Raw genomic sequence first — 17972 nt, 5'->3', positions numbered from 1 at the left:
TTTATATTTTTTCTATTTATTTGCAATGTCACCTCTATTATGGATTAAGTTTCTATATGCAGGTTGGGTGTGGTGGCTCATGCCTGTAATCCGAGCACTTTGGGAGGCCAAGGGGGTGGATCACTTGAGGCCAGGAGTTCAAGACCAGCCTGACCAATGTGGCGAAACCTCGTCTCTACTAGAAATACAAAAATTAGCCAGATGTGGTGGCATGCACTGTAATTTCAGTTACTTGGGAGTCTGAGGCATGAGAATCACTTGAACCCAGGAGGCAGAGGTTGCAATGAGCCAAGATTGTGCCACTGCACTCCAGCCTAGGAAACAGAGTGAGACTCTGTCTCAAAAAAAAAAAAAGTTTCTATATCCATTTGGGTCTGTGAGATTTTTATTCTCCTTCATCGATCTATTAACCTATTTCTTCACCAGTGTCATAGTTTTCATTATAATAGGGTTAGTCTTGGTAACTGATAGAGCAGGTTCTTCTTTTTTGTTCTTTTTCACAACTTATTTAGCAACTCTTCGATGTTTACTCTTCTGTGTGATTTTCAGAATCAGTTTGTCTAGTTTCATTTAAAAATATTTTGTCAGGACTTTGATTATAACATATTGACATTTATAAGTTAATTTGGGGATATTTTATATTTATGACATTTAGATATTCAGTTTTCCCATGAAACAATATAATATATATTCCTATTTGCTTGAGTCCTTTATGCTCTTTAATAACACTTTATAATTTTGTCCATAAAGTTCTTGCAAGGCTTTTGTTATTTTTAGATAGCTTAGATCATAAACTTTCCATGAGAATTAAATAAGGTAGAAAATACAAGTGCTTGGAACGCTGGTAAGAACTCAATGAGTGTTATCAATTATTAATATTCTTTCATAAATTTGTTGCTATTAGGAACAGGCTATTTTTCCTATAACATCGAAGATTTTTTTTTTTTTGGCCTATAGAAACTTACAAATTTTTTTAAAATGTGGGTTTTGTATTTAAAATGTAAATTTTGTGTTTAAAATTTTTAGAACTAAAAGTCATTGGACTTTTTGAGTGCTTTTTTTAGTTCTGAAAATATATATGTTCTCTTTTTTTTTTTTACATAGACTCATAACTTTTGAAAATACTAAAATTGTTGTTTGCCTTTTTGATTCTTATGCCTATCTATTTCTTTTACTTGTATTATATTAACAAAAAAATTGAAATATAATGTTGGATAATAGATGTGATAGCAGGCATTCTTACCTCTTTTGAACTTTACTGGAAAGACTTGCCTATTTCACTCTTAATATGACGTTTGCTTTTAGGTTCCAGCAGCAATTTTTTTTCCCATTTCTAGTTTGATAAGAGGTGTTTGGTTTTATTTTTTAAATTATAAATAAGTGTGGGAGCTTACTAATGATTGATTCTGTACCTACTGAACTAATGATATTATTTTTCCTATAATAAATGAATTATATTGATAGATTTATTTTTACATTTTTACTTATTTATTTTGAGACCACATTGTGAGACTGGCTAATTTTTGTATTTTTTGTAGAGATGGGGTTTCACCATATTCCCCAGGCTGGTCTCGAACTCCTGGGCTCAAGTGATCCACCTGTCTTGGCTTCCCAAAGTGCTGAGATTACAGGCATGGGCCACTGTGCCAGACCTATACTGATAGATTCTAAAACTTCATACTATCCTTGCATTCCTTAGGTAAGGCTCATTAGTGACAATGTAGTTATTTTAATATCCTGCTGGATTCGTTTGCTCTTATTTAGAATTTTTCCCTCTGTGTTCAACATACGAGATTGACCTGGAATGATATAATCCTTATATCAGCAGTTTCCTAAAACTAGTCGTCTTCTCTCTTTTGTGCTTCTTCTACATTATATATATAAGAACAGTTATTATATGCTATTTTTCAAGCTTTGCTGAAAGTCAACCTTAACATCTTCTGGGTTCAAGCTATCTTTTCTACTTGGAATATTCTCTCCATTTCTGATTTTACAAATTCTCAGGTGTCTGGGAATTTAAAATCACTCAAGTGTCATCACTTCCTTGAAGCCTTATTTGATTCCTCTTCTGCCCCCTTCTTATCCCCTTTGAAAACCCATTGTGCTCTCTCCCTGGCAGCCTCAGACCATTGTGTTCACACCATGCTTACAGCATTTATGCTTCCTTGTTTTTGGAACAAAATTCCTAGCACAAGGCCTTTCTGTTAGTAGATGTCCAGCACACATTTGTCATATGAATATCTATATAACATCATTGCTGTTGTTCATCACATTTCAAACACACCCATGCACATACACACACGGCAGATAGGAATGTCATGAAAAAACTACTTTTATTTTTAACCAGTGTTCAATGCTAATTCTTGTGATCTAGTCACATCTGGCAGGGCCTTGTTCTTCTACAAGAAGTGCTGTTACTTAAGATCCCAAGTGATGGGCAATGCAGCAGGGGCCGGGCCTGGGAGAGTACAGCTAGGCAACAATGGTTATTGAGGGTTGATGGGCTGAATAAAGCTTCCACATTACATACTTATTACAGAGGCTTATTACTCTAAAGACAAGTAATTACAGCACCTGTTGCAGTCCCTGGCATAGCCTGGAGACAGTAACCCATTCATTCTTTGCCATATCAGCTCAGTGTGGGCTGCTGAGTGGATGCTGGGTAAGAGCTGGAGTGCTGGGTTCTGATCCCAGATCTGCTACCAGTTCTGTGACCTTGGACCACACATCTGCACAATGAATGTGCTGTGAGAGAAAGCACCTCCCAAGGAATGCATATTTTCATGGCAGACTGGACAGGATGATTTCCAAGTGTCTTTCTAGTCCTACAATTTTATGATTTATGAGAGTTGAAAAATTCGAGAAGTGCCATAAAGCTTTAAATTCATGATGATGGCACTTCTCCTGGCCAGGTTGTTCTCACATTGCTCTTAGAGATGTTGAGATTTCTTCCTTTGTGATTCTCTCAGGACAAATACTGCCTGAGCTGGCATCAAAGAAAGACATGTGAACAAATGGAGCTCCCTAAACATTCCGTCCCTGTCCTGGGTATCCCTGGAGGATAGAAGTGGTTCAGTATGTCCAGTGGTCACCGGAGCTTACGAGATCACTGGGCTTGGGGATCATTACATGCTTGGGTAGGAGTGTGGGCATTAACCCCTGACTGGATGAAATGACTGTGAAATCATTCCTTCTTTTTTTATTTTAATTCACCAATTACTTACTGAGAGCTTGATACACAAAAGTCACTCCGTTAAGTCATGTGGGAAATGATGAGATGAACAGGGTATAAATGCCATCTTCAAGGAGTTCATGGTCCAGTTGGAGACAGGAGAGAGTCACTAGCAAAAGGGTATGGGGAGGGAAGAGGTAATTGATGAGTAGAGCCTCGGGGAAGCCTTCCTGAGAGATGGCATCGAGCACGACGGCTTTGAAGCACAGGTAGGGGTTTTGATCTCAGAGCAGAGCAGCATGTGGGAAGATTCCAAGGTGTGAAAAAGAGGGTCACACAGGCCACCACCCCTTAGCAACGTGGATGTCTCCAGCTGTGACCCAGGACAGAGAGTTTTGAGATGGTTACGTGACTAAACCCAGTACACGCCCCCAGGTGACTCGTGAGCCCATCTCAAAGCTTGGGATTGGTCCTAATGGGTGGCTGGCTGCTTGCCTGTTACTGAGAGAGTCCTAGATGTCTTTTTTGCCCTTAAATTACCTTTACCAATGACTATCAAGGTATCTAGACTTTCCATCATTAAACTCACTTTTTGTTGATAGAACACTACTACCTAAGACATGTAGTTGGTAAGCAGCAAATAGATTATTTAGGAGCAGTAATTTATCAACAAATTAGCTGTTATCAAAACATCTTTGGGTTGAGTGCGGTGGCCCATGCTTATAATCCCAGCATTCTGGGAGGCTGAGGCGGGAGGATCACTTGACCTCAGGAGTTTGAGACCAGCCTGCGCAACATAGTGAGACCTCATCTCCACTAAAAATAAATAAATATAAATAAATAAATAAACTAGCCAGGCATGGCAGGAGGCTGAGGTGGGAGGATCGCTTGAGCTCAGGAGATCGAGGCTGCAGTGAGCTGTGATTGCGCCACTGCACTCTAGCCTGGGTGACAGAGTGAGACTCTGTCTCAAAACAAACAAAATCCCCCCCTCCAAAATTTCTTTGTCCAGGGATGGCAAGTGCCATGAGTGGAGGGGGGAATGGGGAGATTCAGGGGATCGGTGGCAGTTGAGGCAGCCCCAACACTTCCAGAAAGAAAACCCCCGAGTAATCCGAAAGTCACAGAGTGAGAACACTGAGTGCCTGGATGTGGGGAGGAAAAGGAGGAAACACAACGGGGTCCTGCACCCTTCAGAGTGCTTGACCACGTGGTCTGGAGTCTTCTGGGTTGTTGATAGCCATTCTCTCTCCCATCAGTTCCGTGTAGGAGAAAAGCATAATGCCCTTAACATGCTAATGCTTATTTCTCAGAGAAGATAGAAAAGAGTCATCTCAGAGAATTCTAAAGCAGTCTTGATTACGTTTCCTCTTCTGGGAAAAGTGAGCCCATCTCCTGCTGAAGACACGAGCTTAGAACCTGTCATTGAGCAGTGGACCTGATCCCACCTGGGCATCAACCAACCTCACCTGCAGCCTGCTCTCGCCAAGTCTCAAGCCCTTTAAAAGGGATAATAGCAAACACTTCTACAGTGCTTGCTGTGTACCAGGCACTGTTTCAGGTGCATTATATGCATTAACCCATTCGATCCTCACAATTTCCCTATGTGATACTGTTGTTATATTCATTTGTACAGATAAGGAAATTGAGGTGCCTTGCCCAAAATCACAGATAGTAAGTGGCGGAGCCAGGATTCAAATTCAAGAAGACCTGATCTACTCCACACTTTTAATCACTATATCTAACTTCGTTTGTAGGAAAAGAGTATGAATAATAGTGACTATTCGGTAGCCATACTTTATCAGTTAGCTATTGTTGCATAACCAACTAACTCAAAACTCAGCAGCATAAAACCAGAATCATTTAACTCATGACTATATTAGTTTTATATATTACTGTAACACAGGCATTTTAGTAGGCTAGGGAGCGAGCAGCTATAGGCTGGGCTTGACTTATCTTGGCTAGACTCACTTGTGCATCTATGAGTCAATCGGGAACTTTGTTCTGGAAAGGGCTAGGCCACCTTAACTGAGGTATTTTGGCTCCATATGTCTCTTATTCTGCAATGCAGGAGGAATCAGGCAAGGACTCGTGAAGCCTTATCTCAGAACAGGCACATCCTTCCTTCTGCCTTTTTTTTTTTTTTTTTTTTTGAGATGGAGTTTTGTTCTTGTTGCCCAGGCTGGACTGCAATGGTGAGATCTCGGCTCATGGCAACCTCCAGCTCCCAGATTCAAGTGATTCTCCTATCTCAGCCTCCCAAGTATCTGGGATTACAGGCACCTGCCACCACGCCCAGCTAATTTTTTTTTGTATTTTTAGTAGAGATGGGGTTTCACCATATTGGCCAGGCTGGTCTCAAACTCCTGACCTCAGGTGATCCGCCCGCCTCGGCCTCCCAAACTGTTGGGATTACAGGCATGAACCACCGCCCCCAGCGCTTCTGCCTTATTCTATTGGTCAGAGTGAGTTGCATGATGTTCTGAGCTGTTTGTGTCACTTAAAACGTACATGTTGAATCCCTAACACTCAATGTCATGTTTGGAAGTGGGGTGAAATGGGGGTAAATGGGGGTGAAACTCCCAAGATGCTAATGGTGTCCTTACATGAAAAAGAAGAGACAAAATTCTCTCTCTCTGCACCATATGAGGACACAATGAGAAGGAGGCCATCTACAAGCCAGGAAGAGGAACTTCACCAGAATTTGACCATGCTGGTGCCCTGATCTTGGACTTCCAGTCTCCAAAACTGTGAGAAACTTCCATTGTTCAAGCCACCCAGTTTGTAGTATTTTGTTCTGGCAGCCTGAGATGATGAAGACACATAGGGAGAGAAAATATACATCACCTGTATGGGAGGAACTCTGAAGTCACCTGCTAAAGACTATAGCTACAGAGAGAGAGGAAGTGGGGCTATTACTGCAATCCTATTTCAGTCTTACAAAGATACATTGACTGTAGCCTCTAGAAAAATGGGAGAAACAAACTTTCAAAATCCAAAGTCATGGACATCACTGAAGGAGAAGTAGGTAGGAATAGAGATGGAGACATAAACTTTCTATAGATCTCACTTTATTTTTCAGTTGCCAATCTTGTTCTAAGTAAAAAAAAAAAACTCATAGAGCAGAGAAAATGGAATCTGTCTTAAAAAGATGGCTGACATTAGAGAAAAGGCATTTAGGTGACAGGACTTTTTCAATCTCACAGCTAAAAACAGATCCAGGCTGCATGGCTTAAATTGAGTGGCTTATTCCCCTGCATTTATTGTAGATGTTTATGACCAGCCCAGAGTTTTCTTCCACACTTGTAACGAAGTGATGGAGGGGTAAGATGAGGATAACACTGGCCTGCTTCTCAATTTTAGATTATCTTCCAGAAACTCGAGTACACAGCCACAGAAATCATCCCCAGTAATTTCAAGTTGGCAGAGCCAAGCTAATTATCTGCAATTTCATCTGTCAAAATAGTTTGGAAAATTCTCACGTGTTAGGGGAGTGAGTCTGACGGGTGGGCATTGCCAATGCTCCAGAATTTTCACAAGTTAGAAAAGGAGTTAGATATTGGCCTTTGGTAAAGGGCATTTCCCCATCATTTTTTGGAACCTGTATGTCTAAGCCACGGGTCATAGTCTTTGGCTGGCAGGGACTTGGGTTTGCCCTAGCTGAGCCATAGCTGGTGTGGCTGAACTAGAGAAACTGTGTGTACATTCCTGCAGATCCCCCTAGAGACATACAGATATCTTTTGTTTGTAGATATCTTTTCTAAGGCCCACATTCAGTGCAGACCAGTGTAAGACCTAAGTTTTTTCTTGTTTTGCTTTATTTGTTGCAGTTTTTTTTTTTTTTTTGAGACGGAGTCTTGCTCTTGTCGCTCAGGCTGGAGAGCAGTGGTGCGGTCTCGGCTCACTGCAACCTTTGCCTCCCGGGTTCAAGCGATTCTCTTGCCTCAGCCTCCTGAGTGGCTGGGATTACAGGGGCGCGCCACTATGCCAGGCTAATTTTTGTATTTTTTGTAGAGATGGGGGTTTTACCATGGTGGTCAGGCTGGTCTCGAGCGTCTGACCTCGTGATCTACCTGCCTCGGCCTCCCAAAGTGCTGGGATTACAGGCATGAGCCACCTAGCCCCACTTTAAGTCTTAAAAAGGTACAAGAACTGTGGGGTTATTATGGCTGGCACTGCTCTGATTGGTCAGTGCCACTCCTGTTTGGTGCCCCCTGCTGTTCACGTTAAATGTCTTCACTAGTATCCGTCTTCTAACTCAGCGCGAGTCTTGTTGCCCCGCCAAGTCCGTGCTGCATCTTTCCCTGGGAGGCTGACATTTCTGGATCAAGGATACCCTAGTCTTACAGCTTGCTGTTGGGTTTGATCACTGAAGGGCACCAGCAGGGGACTGAAAATCAGAGAGGAGGTGTCGGGGTAAGTAAATTAGTCCCCTGCCTGCCTTTTGCAACAGCCAGTTAGTAGCTATGTTCCTCCACAGGAGCTGCAGCTCCCACCAGCCACAGCCACAGCCCTCTCCGTGATTCCAGGAGCCACTGGTCCACGTCTACCTTCTGCCCTGGCGGTGGTAAGAGCCCCAGCCAAGGACAGAATGCACCTACGCCTTTTTAAGTAGACCCTAAATCCATCTCTTCCTACCAGGACATGACTATTCCAAGCACTTAAAAAAAAGTGGAGGTGGAAAGCAGAATGTTATAGGTAGTACATTAGTAAAATAACAATAAACAGTGACAACATCAACACAGACTTCTTTCTTGTTTCATTCGAGGTGATATGTAGAAACAGCTAAAGCAGACCACCTGCCTTCTCTTCCTTTTCTCTCCCTGCCTCTTTTCTTCCTTTTCTTTTACTCCCTCTTTTTTCTTCTCTCCTCCATCTCATTCTCTCTCCTCTCCTTCCTTCTTTTCCCCCTTATTCTCTCCCTCTCTCTCTCCTTCCATCCTTCAGCCCCAGTAGGGCCTATTCTGTACCAGGGCCTGTGCTAGGCACTGAGGAAGCAGAGGTGAGTTAGGCAGTCTTTGCCTTCAAAGAGATCACTGCCTAGGACTTAGCCATCACAGCAGTGCAAAGTAGACTGGACTGAACAGAAGCTCCTGAGTCTGCAAAGCTAGGTCATATCCCTGTCTGTCACTCACTAGCTGGGTGACCTTGGGCATATCAGTCTAACTTATCCAATACTGTCCCCATATCTGTAAGAGAGGAACACTTCCTACCCACCTCACAGAGTTCTTACTGCGTTCAACAAGATAATATATGCAAAGCACTAATACCAGCCCAACATATAGTAAGGACTGAGAAACAGTGGGAGTTAGCTCCCTTCTTCAGTGGAGGGAAAGAATGACAATATCACTTAGTGGTGAAGAGTGTTAAGATTGTAAAGGAGCTACTTAACCTCTGGGTTTAAATGGGGTTAATATAAACTACCTTCGATCCTATCTATATTTTCCCAGGAGTGTTATGACAGTCATATGTGATAACGTGTGTAAGGCTTTAGATTATAAAAATGATAAAAGTATCAACCAAATACCATCACTTATTATTACATAATGTTGATTTATATTTAAAAAAGCTTTTCAGTTGTTTCCTTCAATCACTGGGTAGGTGACTCTTTCTACCCCCATCCCAGATTCCTTCATTATTTATTTATTGGCAATCTTGAAATAGTCTGGCCAGGAGAATATTGGAAATCCATTTGTCTGCTGAAATGGCAGTGATGGCAAGAGAGTCCCAGGGTCTCAGGCCATTGCCATTCCCCTTGACATAAGATCACATGCCATCTTAATGGCCCTAGGAGCTTTTGCATCTTTTGAACACTAAAGCAAATAGGAAAATCAGCATCATTGCGTTAACGCACTAACCAAGCCCACCTTTGTACTGCTGGCATGTGTGTGGGGGGGTCCTCACCATAAAAAAGGTTCTTTTCTTCCGTCCTGCCCATTTGGTGACAAGAGAACATCAAAAAGCCTGAAGCAGCTGCACAGCAAAAGATAAATGCCAATCAAGGCTGCCTGCCTTTGATCATCAAATCCTTAACAGCAAAGCTCTAATTCTCCTGATACCATTAAAATGAGTTTAAAGGGCTTTCCAACTACATTAAAAAAACACACACATTTCTTTCAGCTGGGGAGTTTACAGGTAAAAGTTTTCATGACTTTTTTTTTTTTTTTTTTTTGAGATTGGGTCTGGCTCTGTCACTCAGGCGGGAGTGTGGAGTGCAGTGGCTTACTGCAACCTCTGCATCCTGGGATCAAGTGATCCTCCCACTTCAGCCTCCCTCCATGACTTTTAGAAATAGCAATTCTCTCTGATTTAGGTCCTCAATGCTAGCAATATAATCCTGGGGTACTTCTAAGAAAACATCCAAGCACAGATATTAATTGTCAGAGACTGGGGAGGGTGCCACTTGTCACCCTGCAAATGTGTCCCCTGGAATAAGCAACTATGGCAAACTCTTCGTGAGGCTACTATGAACTATTATTCTACAAAGCGTGTATTTCCTTGATATTTGAAGGAATACGGTTGATTTCCTTGGCCCCAAAGGCACACAGAGGATCCTCAGTACCAAACGGCTTCTCTAAAATGCAATGATGTCTGTAAGAGTTCGTGACCTAAATATTTTTATTTTATGCTTTTATTCTTGCTACATACTGATAATCATGATGATAATAGCAATATAGCATCTATTATTTGGTGGGCATTTACTTTGTTCTTTGCAGAAGTGACTTCAGCGTTCTCAAACTTGTGAAATAGATCAACAAGAGGTGATACACGAGATGGTTCCTTGGGCAAAAATACTTTGAGAAAGTGCCTGTTTGGAGCCCTGACAAGTCCTGTGGCATGAATGTGAACTTTGACCGTTTGATTTGACAAGGATGAATGCCTGCAAGAAAAGAACTCAGAGAGATGGTGGAACCTTAAAAACAAACAATATTCAAGTTTGCACAAATGAGCCAGCAGAGAACAGTCCGGAAGGAGGGGCTGCAGAATGCTGTCTTTCCCTTGCGCTTGACTTCACATTTATTGACCACTGCACCATGGAAGGAAGTCCCTAGAGCAGAAAGAAAGCCAAAGGCAAACAATACCCTCCCCTCCTGACCAGAAGACCCCAACTAGAAAATGTATACACTTATTCAGTGGATTGGAGCAGTGATGCCTGGTCTGGTCGCCATTAGAATCACCATGAGAATTACAAAAACAGGACTCTTGATTCCACTGGGCTAAACTAGCAATTCTTAACTAGTGCAGTTTTGTCCCCCCACCCCCACACCCGCCTCCGCCCAGGGGACATTTGGCAATGTTCGCAGACTTTTTCTCTATTGTCATGACCGAGGTGTGCTACTGGCATCTAGTGGGTAAAGGTCAGGGATGCTGTGAAACCTCCGACAATGCACAGGACACTCCCACAACAAAGAATGATGTGGCCCCAAATAATGGAGCCATGGCTCAGAAATCATGGCCAGATGGAAGCTTGGGGAAGGGCAGAGACACCCTGCCAGGCTACTTGGATGCTGTATATCCAGCACCCTCCACAGGGTCTGGTGTGCAATCGTCCCGCCTTGAACATCTGAAGACTGACCGGCCAACTAGGAACCGAATCCAGCTACAGGAGAGATGATGGCACCACTTCTGACAATCAAGGGAAGGCACCACTCAGTCGCTCCCTATTACAGAGTCATCGTGCAGGCTGGAGAAGGCTGAGTCATTACTAGATATGCTGTAATATATATGTACATGTCCACCCCATATACACTTACCTTTTCTTTCTAAAACTTTTGACAAAGACATAAGGATTTTCCTCTTAATAATTTTGTGGTCTTCTCTGGAAGCCTCTCTTTGAAGCCATTGGCTCAGGGGATAAAGAGGCTTAAACTGCGTTTAAAGGCTATCACCTTTGGCTTTCACATCTTGGCTACACTCTTCACACCTCCCTTAAAGTTAAAGGAATCTGTTGTTCCTGCTGGAATCAGTGGCAGCTCCCAAGGACTTGTCATATTCCTGGATGCCAGAGTTCACAGCTATCCAGTCATGATTTAGTTCAAGTGGGGATTTGGAGAAGTGAGACAGAGAATTATGAGTGCAAGTACGGTCATCCCATATCTACTAGTGTGTGTCCAGGGTTGACATTGTGAGGAGTGAAAAAGGAATAAAAACACTCAGGTTTTCACCTCTAGAAGCAAGAAAATTTTTTTAAAAAGGGAAAAAATAACTACTCAGGAATGGAATACCCTGCCCCCAGCACAAAGAGAATAAACAAAAGCCTGAATCTTACTGAGACGTCAAGGCCCCTGTATGTGTCTCCTGAGCCCATTTGTGTCAATGATTATCTATACAAACTTTATTTAGGGGGAGTTGGTACCAGTGTTAACTGTGAACTAACAGGGATGGGATTTCTGGGAATGTTTCCTTTCTAATGGATTTTCTGGTTGTATTTTTAAGGTGGTGCCAATAGGATGTACTGACAGATCAGAAGTGGTCGTGAGAGAAGGAGCAAGTAGCCAGAAGAGTGAAGTGTGCACTGGCTGAGATGTGGGAGCAGGTGTTGTTGGTTTCCCCGGAGTAAGTTACCTTGAGTGAGTTAAGGTTAAGATATCCCAGGGGTGAGGTTGAGCAGGCAGTTGTGTATGTGACCCTGGGGAAAGTCTAGCTGAAGATACAAAGATGGGATGAGATCACCAAGGAGTAAGTGTCTTTAGCAAAGAGAAGAGACCAAGGACTGAATCTGGATACCTCAACATTTGGAGTCAGAGCCTGAAAAGGATCCCTCAAAAGTGCCCAAGAAGCAGCAGAATGAGGAAAGACAGCCCAGGGAGTGTGGCACAGCTGCTCCTCACCACTTCAGGCTCCCCTGGAGTCCAATGCACTGGGGCCTCATTCCTGGGTATTATAATTGCCTCCTAAGTGGCCTCTGGCTTATGTCTCCTACCCCAGTTGATGTTCATCACATCAGCCAGAGTGGCTCTGTTAACACCCAAGCCAGTTCCTGCCCATCTGCTGAGAATCTTCAAGGGCTTTCACCTCACTCTGAGTCGAAGCCAATATCTTCACAATGGCCTGGCCCTTTGCCAACTGCTGTGGTTTAAATGTTTGTACCCTTCAAAACTTAGGTTGAAATTTGCTTGGCAACATGGTGGTGGCAGGAGGTGGAACCTTTGGGATGTGATAGGGCCAAGGGCTCTGCCCTCAGGGGTAGGATTAATGCTGTTACAAAAGAGCAAGTTTGACTTTCTTTTGCCTCTTTGCCCTTCTACCTTCCTTCCTGGGAGGATGCAGCAAGAAGGCCCTCGCCAGATATCAAGGCCTTAAGCTTGGACTTCCCAGCCTCCAGAACTGTGAGTCAATAAATTTGTTTATTAAAAATCACCCAGTCTCAAGCAGCACAGGTGGACTAAGACACCACCTCTCTGAATTTACCTCCAGCTACTCTGGTGTTTACTGAGTCCAGCAATACAAAACATGATCCTCCCTCAGGGCATTCACAAATGCTGTTCTCCCTGCATGGAATGCTCATCCCCCAAAACATTTGCACAGCTTTCTTCCTCACTTCCTTCAGATCTTTATTCCAGTGGCACCCCTTGGTGAGGCCTCCCTGGCTTCCCTATGCAACATTTTAACTCTTATCCACCTCTCATGATTTCGCCCTTTCCAAGGAGGTACTTATATTTTCTTCGAAGTTTACATTATAAATCATACTGTACATTTTTCTTAATCTTATTTTCTGTCTTTTCCAGTAGACTATAAGCTCCAGATGTACAAGAGCCTGTTTTTTGTATGTTTTACTCACTGCTTCATCTCCAGAGCTAGATCATTGTTGAGCACCTAGTAGAGGCTCAATACATGATTAATCGCAATTAAAATTTGCTATAATTTGATTTGTTTTTATTTACATGTAGCTGATTTTGTTTTTGCAAATGGAAAAAAAACAGTGAAATTTATTTATTTATTTCTCACATTCTAAAATATGCCCACGTACTTATTTGGTTTTGATCCACTTACTTTTTTTAATTTTTAATTTTTGTGCATACATAGTAGGTGTGTATATTTATGGGGTCCATGAGCTATTTTGATACAGGCATGCAATGCATAATGGTCACAGCAGGGTAAATGGGGTACCCATCACCTCCAGCATTTATCCTTTGTGTTACAAACAATTCAATTTTACTCTTTTAGTTATTTTTAAATGTGCAATTAAATTATTTTTTTACTATAATCACCCTGTTGTGCTAGATCTTACTCACCCTTTCTAGCTATTCTTTTTGTACCCATTATCCATCCCCACTCCCTACCCCTCCACCTCTCCTCTTGACTACCCTTCCCAGCCTCTGGTAACCATCCTTCTACTCTCTATCTCCATGAGTTAAATTGTTTTAATTTTTAGCTCCCATAAGTAAGTGAGAATATGTGAAGTATGACTTTCTGTGCCTGGCTTATTTCACTTAACATAATGGCCTCCAGTTTCATCCATGTTGTTACAAATGACAGGATCTTGTTCTTTTTATGGCTGAATAGTACTCCATTGTGTATGTGTAACATTTTTTTTTATCCATTCATCTGTTGATGAATATAGGTTGCCTCCAAACCTTGACTATTGTGACTAGATCTGCAACAAACACCGGAGTGCAGATATCACTTTGATATACAGATTTCCTTTCTTTTCAGTATATACCTAGGAGTGGGATTGCTGAATCATATAGTAGCTCTATTTTTAGTTTTTTTGAGAAACCTTCAAACTCTTTTCCTTTGTGATTGTACTAGTTTATATTCCCATCTACAATGTACGAGGGTTCCTTTTTCTCAACATCCTCACCAGCATTTGTTATTGCCTGACTTTTGGAGAAAAGCCATTTTAGCAGAGGTGAGATGATACCTCATTGTAGTTTTGATTTGCATTTCTCTGATGATCAATAATGTTGAGCACCTTTTCATATACCTACTTGCCATTTGTATGTCTTCTTTTGAGAAATGTCTATTCAGATCTTTTGCCCATTTTTAATCAAATTATTAGATTTTTTTTTCCTGTAGAGTTGTTTGAGTGCCTTATATAATCTGCTTATTAATCCCTTGTGAAATGGGTAGTTTGAAATATTTTATCTCATTCTGTGGGTTTTCTATTCACTTTGTTGATTGTTTCCTTTGCTATGCAGAAGCCTTTTAATTTGATGTGATCCTATTTGTCCCTTTTTGCTTTGGTTGCCTGTGCTTGTGGGATATTACTCAAGAAATCTTTGCCCAGTCCAATGTCCTGGAGAGTTTCCCTAATGTTTTCTTTTAGTAGTATCATAGTTTTAGGTCTTATATTTAAGTCTGTAATTCTTCTTGATTTGATTTTTGTATATTTTTAGAGATAGGGGTCTAGTTTCATTCTTCTGCATATGGATATCCAGTTTTCCCTGCATCATTTATTGAAGAGACTTTTTTTCCCAGTGTATGCTCTTGGCATGTTTGTCAAAAATGAGCTCATCATAGATGTATCTATTTATCTCTGGGTTCTCTGTTCCACTGATCTATGTGTCTATTTTTATGCCAGTACTGTACTGTTTTGGCTACTATAACTCTGTAGTATATTTTAAAGTCAAGTAATGTGATTCCTCCAGTTTTGTTCTTTTTGTTTAGGATAGCCTTGGCTATTCAGGGTCTTTTGTGGTTCCATATGAAGTTTAGAATTGTTTCTTCTAGGGGGGAAGAGCCAAGATGTCTGAATAGAAACAGCTCCGGTCTACAGCTCCCAGCGTGAGCAATGCAGAAGACAGGTGATTTCTGCATTTCCATCTGAGGTACCGGGTTCATCTCACTAGGGAGTGCCAGACAGTGGGCGCAGGTCAGGGGGTGCTCGCACCGTGTGCCAGCCGAAGCAGGGCGAGGCATTGCCTCACTCGGGAAGCGCAAGGGATCAGGGAGTTCCCTTTCCTAGTCAAAGAAAGGGGTGACAGACGGCACCTGGAAAATCGGGTCACTCCCACCCGAATACTGCGCTTTTCCGATGGGCTTAAAAAACGGCACACCAGGAGATTATATCCCGCACCTGGATCGGAGGGTCCTACGCCCACGGAGTCTCGCTGATTGCTAGCACAGCAGTCTGAGATCAAACAGCAAAGCGGCAGTGAGGCTGGGAGAGGGGCGCCCGCCATTGCCCAGGCTTGCTTAGGTAAACAAAGCAGCCGGGAAGCTCGAACTGGGTGGAGCCCACCACAGCTCAAGGAGGCCTGCCTGCCTCTGTAGGCTCCACCTCTGGGGGCAGGGCACAGACAAACAAAAAGACAGCAGTAATCTCTGCAGACTTAAATGTCCCTGTCTGACAGCTTTGAAGAGAGCAGTGGTTCTCCCAGCACGCAGCTGGAGATCTGAGAACGGGCAGACTGCCTCCTCAAGTGGGTCCCTGACCCCTGAACCCCGAGCAGCCTAACTGGGAGGCACCCCCCAAGCAGGGGCAGACTGACATCTCACATGGCCGGGTACTCCAACAGACCTGCAGCTGAGGGTCCTGTCTGTTAGAAGGAAAACTAACAAACAGAAAGGACATCCACACCAAAAACCCATCTGTACATCACCATCATCAAAGACCAAAAGTAGATAAAACCACAAAGATTGGGAAAAAACAGAGCAGAAAAACTGGAAACTCTAAAAGGCAGAGCACCTCTCCTCCTCCAAAGGAACGCAGTTCCTCACCAGCAACAGAACAAAGCTGGACGGAGAATGACTTTGACGAGCTGAGAGAAGAAGGCTTCAGATGATCAAATTACTCTGACCTACGGGAGGACATTCAAACCAAGGGCAAAGAAGTTGAAAACTTTGAAAAAAATTTAGAAGAATGTATAACTAGAATAACCAATACAGAGAAGTGCTTAAAGGAGCTGATGGAGCTGAAAACCAAGGCTTGAGAACTACATAAAGAATGCAGAAGCCTCAGGAGCTGATGCGATCAACTGGAAGAAAGGGTATCAGCGATGGAAGATGAAATGAATGAAATGAAGCGAGAAGGGAAGTTTAGAGAAAAAAATAAAAAGAAACGAGCAAAGCCTCCCAAGAAATATGGGACGATGTGAAAAGACCAAATCTATGTCTGACTGGTGTACCTGAAAGTGACGGGGAGAATGGAACCAAGTTGGAAAACACTCTGCAGGATATTATCCAGGGGAACTTCCCCAATCCAGCAAGGCAGGCCAACATTCAGATTCAGGAAATACAGAGAACGCCACAAAGATACTCCTTGAGAAGAGCAACTCCAAGACACATAATTGTCAGATTCACCGAAGTTGAAATGAAGGAAAAAATGTTAAGGGCAGCCAGAGAGAAAGGTCATGTTACCCTCAAAGGGAAGCCCATCAGACTAACAGCGGATATCTCGGCAGAAACTCTACAAACCAGAAGAGAGTGGGGGCCAATATTCAACATTCTTAAAGAAAAGAATTTTCCACCCCGAATTTCATATCCAGCCAAACTAAGCTTCATAAGTGAAGGAGAAATAAACTACTTTACAGACAAGCAAATGCTGAGAGATTTTGTCACCACCAGGCCTGCCCTAAAAGAGCTCCTGAAGGAAGTGCTAAACATGGAAAGGAACAACTGGTACCAGCCACTGCAAAATCATGCCAAAATGTAAAGACCATTGAGACTAGGAAGAAACTGCATCAACTAACGAGCAAAATAACCAGCTAACATCATCATGACAGGATCAAATTCACACATAACAATATTAACTTTAAATGTAAATGGACTAAATGCTCCAATTAAAAGACACAGACTGGCAAATTGGATAAAGAGTCAAGACCCATCAGTGTGCTGTATTCAGGAAACCCATCTCATGTGCAGAGACACACATAGGCTCAAAATAAAAGGATGGAGGAAGATCTACCAAGCAAATGGAAAACAAAAAAAGGCAGGGGTTGCAATCCTAGTCTCTGATAAAACAGACTTTAAACCAACAAAGATCAAAAGAGACAAAGAAGGCCATTACATCATGGTAAAGGGATCAATTCAACAAGAAGAGCTAACTATCCTAAAAATATATGTACCCAATACAGGAGCACCCAGATTCATAAAGCAAGTCCTGAGTGACCTACAAAGAGACTTAGACTCCCACACATTAATAATGGGAGATTTTAACACCCCACTGTCAACATCAGACAGATCAACGAGACAGAAAGTCAACAAGGATACCCAGGAATTGAACTCAGCTCTGCACCAAGCGGACCTAATAGACATCTACAGAACTCTCCACCCCAAATCAACAGAATATACATTTTTTTCAGCACCACACCACACCTATTCCAAAATTGACCACATAGTTGGAAGTAAAGCTCTCCTCAGCAAATGTAAAAGAACAGAAATTATAACAAACTATCTCTCAGACCACAGTGCAATCAAACCAGAACTCAGGATTAAGAATCTCACTCAAAACCGCTCAACTACATGGAAACCAAACAACCTGCTCCTGAATGACTACTGAGTACATAATGAAATGAAGGCAGAAATAAAGATGTTCTTTGAAACCAACGAGAACAAAGACACAACATACCAGAGTCTCTGGGACACATTCAAAGCAGTGTGTGGAGGGAAATTTATAGCACTAAATGCCCACAAGAGAAAGCAGGAAAGATCCAAAATTGACACCCTACCATCACAATTAAAAGAACTAGAAAAGCAAGAGCAAACATATTCAAAAGCTAGCAGAAGGCAAGAAATAACTAAAATCAGAGCAGAACTGAAGGAAATAGAGACACAAAAAATCTTTCAAAAAATTAATGAATCCAGGAGCTGGTTTTTTGAAAGGATCAACAAAATTAATAGACCGCTAGCAAGACTA

General features: G+C 42.3%; 1 protein-coding gene and 1 long non-coding RNA gene across 7 annotated transcripts in view; one reads left to right on the top strand and one right to left on the bottom strand.

The window, feature by feature from the left end:
- Positions 1–17972, bottom strand: part of KAZN (kazrin, periplakin interacting protein) — a 1225220-nt gene that overhangs the window by 714857 nt on the left and 492391 nt on the right. The window lies entirely within an intron of this gene.
- The window catches only part of KAZN-AS1 (KAZN antisense RNA 1), a 71019-nt gene that overhangs the window by 16787 nt on the left and 36260 nt on the right, over positions 1–17972 (top strand). The window contains exons 2-3 of the long non-coding RNA NR_149058.1: positions 11609–11728; positions 12436–12501. This is a non-coding gene — a long non-coding RNA (KAZN antisense RNA 1). The remainder of the gene's footprint in view (positions 1–11608; positions 11729–12435; positions 12502–17972) is intronic.

The sequence above is a fragment of the Homo sapiens genome, chromosome 1 (assembly GCF_000001405.40).
Source record: "Homo sapiens chromosome 1, GRCh38.p14 Primary Assembly".
NCBI classification, from domain to species: domain Eukaryota; kingdom Metazoa; phylum Chordata; class Mammalia; order Primates; family Hominidae; genus Homo; species Homo sapiens.
The sequence above is the reverse complement of the archived record's forward strand: the minus strand, read 5'-3'. Positions and strand labels throughout refer to the sequence as shown.